Raw genomic sequence first — 3748 nt, forward strand, 5'->3', positions numbered from 1 at the left:
GATGCCAGGAGCACCTCCCTCCCCAGCCATGATGATCAAAAATGTCTTCAGATGGTGTCAAATGTCTCCTGGGGAGTAAAATTCCCTCCCCATCCCGCTTTCCCACCCCCCACAGTGAGAACTGGTCTAGACAGCATTGTCAGGAATGTTTACATGAACCAAAGTAAACACCTAACTAGAACTTCTATAGGAACTTAGGTAAATGTATGAATGCATAGCAGAAAGTCTGAAGGGAGTCTCCAAACTGGGAGCTGGGGTTGTCTCTGAGGAGGGAATTGGGAATTTGGGTGGGGGGGAAGAGAGGGATCTGGGGAGACCTTTGCTTTTGTTGTATGATCTGCATGTTTGACCATGAGAATGCATGCATCTGTTCAGTACTTTTTTGTTCTTTGTTTGTTTTCTTTGAGAAGGAGTCTCACTCTGTCGCTCAGGCTGGAGTGCAGTGGCGCCATCTCGGTTCACTACAACCTCCACCTCCCGGGTTCAAGGAATTCTCCTGCCTCAGCCTCCCAAGTAGCTGAGACTACAGGTGCCCACCACCACGCCCAGCTAATTTTTGTATTTCTAGTAGAGATGAGGTTTCGCCATGTTGGCCAGGCTGGTCTCAAACTCCCGATCTCAGGTGACCCACCAGCCTCAGCCTCCCAAAGTGCTGGGATTACAGGCCTGTGCCACTGCACCCAGCCATCTGTTCAGTACTTTCATTATAAGAGAGAAAGGAGGAGAGGGAAGGGAAAGGGAGGGAAGGGGAGGGGAAGGGAATCAATGGGAAAGGAGGGTCAAGAAGGAGAAGGAGAGAAGGAAGGAAGGGAGGGAGGAAGAGAGGAAGGAAGGAAGGAAAGAAGGAGGGAAGGAAGGAAGGAAAGAAGGAGGGAAGGAAGGAAGGAGGAGGGAAGGAAGGAAGGAAGGAAAGAAGGAAGGAAGGAAGGAAAGAGGGAAGAAAGGAAGGAAGGAAAGAAAGAAGGGAGGAAGGGAGGGAGGGAGGGAGGGAATGAGTGGCAGAAGCCAAGTCTGCAGTTGGGAAATCATGGGACGTGCTGGCTTTTCCTCTCTGATCCTCAGTGTCCTCAAAGAGAAAGGCACAGCATAAACAGGTCTCTAAAGACCCCTCCTGCCCCGTCCACTGTTGAAGAGAGCCCCAAGGTGACCTGGCCCCCTCCCTCCCGGCTGTCCCTCCCACACAACCCAGTTGTTGCACAAAGAAAAGAAGTGCTTGGGGCTTCTCCTCCCTCTCAGCATCTCTGATTATGCCTCCCTGCAGGAGGAGGGGAGGTTGGGGCCTGGTCAGCAGCCCAGCTCCACACCGAGGACTTGAGGACTCGCTGGAGCTTGATTAAATAATTACACAGAATCTACTGAGTAATCATGCCCGTCTCAAGAAGCAAGGAGCACCTTCAGAGGGAGGTCCCATTAGTGATTTGGGGGCGTGTGAGTGTATTTGTCTACTGCCTATGATAAAATTATCATCAGAAGGCCTCATTTACAAAATGCATCCCTTTCCCCCATCTCCTTCCATCACCTCCCAAACCCAGAGATGTGTATAATGTAATCCCCATTCCACGGCAGAGGACAGGGACTCACGAGCTTTGGGGCTGGCTCAAGGTCCCAGCAGCAGGGGCTGGTGGCAAAGGTGGTCAAATACCAGAAAGTGCACACAGAGTGGGGACAAGGCTCAGGACTGAAACATTTTAGAAGAGGTTTTGTTTGTTTTTTATTGTTTTGTTTTGTTTTCTCGCTAGGATTATTTCTCTCCTTTCAGTTTTTGAAAACAAATCTAAAATCAGCCATGGGAGCCTCCCTAGGTCTTGCTGCCAAGAAAACAGCCGAGCATGGAGGGTGAGGGCTGGGACTCACTGCGGCCGCCCTCATTTCCGATTTACCCAGGCCAAAGGGGACTGCCAGGTGGAGAGGGGGAGCCCAGGCCATCCTGGGGCTCTGTTCTCAGGCCTAGGGGCCAGGATCTTCTGTAAGCCACCCACCCCCCAGCTCCAGGATAAGGACACCCCTTCCAGCCAAGCGCCTGGTTTAATTGGGAACGGAAATAAACGGCTTACAAGAGGCTACACCAGGGCTCTCTGTGGCCCACAGGGCCTGGTCCTGAGATTCCTGCTGCCTGCATGGCTTGGCCAGCTACCCACGCCAGGCCCCGTTGACTCATTTACACTGGAGCAGTCCAAATTCATCAATAATGATTTGTCTCTCTTCAAGAAGAGGCTCGCAATCAAAAGGCCATTAAAATTAAGTACTGGAGGAGCGGGGGCCAGGGAAGGGGGAGGGGGAAGAAAAGGGGGAGGGGTGGGGCCAGGCGGAGCTGAGTGTGAATCTCCACTGGATGTGGACACTTTCTTGTTGCGGGACCTTGGATGGGTCACGTCTCGTCCTGGTTTCCTCTTCTCTGAAACAGAAGGGCAGATATGGCTACAGTATCAGTGACACTGTGTATGGAAACACCCAGCAGGAAGAAGCACGAAGTGACCCTGCTATGAGGCTTCCAGCATTGGGACACATGGGGAAGGTGATGGATACTGAGCAGGGGTAATGCCAGCCTGCTAGGTCAGATCCCAGGGCAGCTACCCCTCACTGCCCAGCTGTCCTAACTCCAGCCCCTGAGTAACTACCCATTGCCACCTCAACTGGGCTCAACACCCCAGGGCAGGGCCACAGCTCGGCCCTGCTCTAATCTCTGGGCAGGAGCAGCAGAAGCATCAGGACACCCAGGACAGCCCTAGACCTTGGAAGAGGCTGGACCAGACAGGGCTCCCCAGCCCTCAGCAGCCTCTCAGCCCTCAGCCTTCCCCCTGCCATCTGGAGCATGGCATCTCAGGATGCCTCAGGCACAGAGAGGCGACCCCAGTGTCCCACACCCACCAACTGACCCTCCTACTGCCCTGGGTGTTAAGAGGCCAACGTGCAGCCTTCTTTTGGGCACCCAGACAGCTAACATGGAGTCCTATGCATGGGTGGCTGAGAAATGCACCACTGTCCCCACCCTGCCTTTCTCAAGAAATAAAACACAAACAAGAACAAAGAAAGAAAGCAAAAGGAAAAAAAAATGGAATTCTGCAGCCCATCCCACAAGGTCCAGGCCTTCCTTGGGAGAAGGGGAGGTGCCAAGAACTCCAGATGTGTTGATCCCTGGGTTTGCACAGCCATCTGATTCTTCTTGAGGACAGGAAATGAAATTTTACAAAGGTGCCCATTATGTGCCAAGCGCTTGTTACTTCATAGAACAACCACAAGGATACCACAAGGTTGGTATTAGTCATTCTTGTTTTTAAGGGAGAACTCAGAAAGATGAAAAGCCTTGCCCAAAATCACGAGTCTCAGACCCTCACGGTGCCAAAGCCAAGATTCAAGCCCAGGAACAGCAGATCCTGACTCGATTCTTCCTCCACGCTTCCACATGGCCACCCGAGCACCTGACTCTAGGTCCAGTTCCAGTGTGGGCTGGAAGGAGCCTCTCCATGCTGATGCCAATCACAATCATGGCCACTACTTCCCATGCGCCCCTGGGTGCCAGGCTGCAGCTCCAAAGGTTGGAGTCACTCCATCCTCCCCAAAACTTAACGAGGCCAGGATTCTCATTCCCATTTCACAATGAAGACGCTGAGGCACAGCGATGTTAAATGACCTGTCCAAGGTCACAGGATAAAGTCATGGCAGAGCCAGGTCTCCACCTGATGGGCTGAAAACCGCACAAGGGCCAGGGTAGTGCCCAGCTTTGCTCCCACCTGGGCCCCACAGAGTG

The 3748-nt window shown here is 52.9% G+C and overlaps 1 annotated feature.

Moving 5' to 3' along the window:
• Positions 2234–2865: an enhancer, noted in NCBI's record as "H3K4me1 hESC enhancer chr20:39589576-39590207 (GRCh37/hg19 assembly coordinates)". NCBI's record gives its function as "activates a minimal SCP1, AML or CMV promoter by ChIP-STARR-seq in primed H9 embryonic stem cells {active_cell/tissue: H9 hESC(primed)}" and the evidence as "EXISTENCE:reporter gene assay evidence [ECO:0000049][PMID:30033119]".

This window comes from Homo sapiens, chromosome 20 (genome assembly GCF_000001405.40).
Source record: "Homo sapiens chromosome 20, GRCh38.p14 Primary Assembly".
Lineage (NCBI taxonomy): Eukaryota > Metazoa > Chordata > Mammalia > Primates > Hominidae > Homo > Homo sapiens.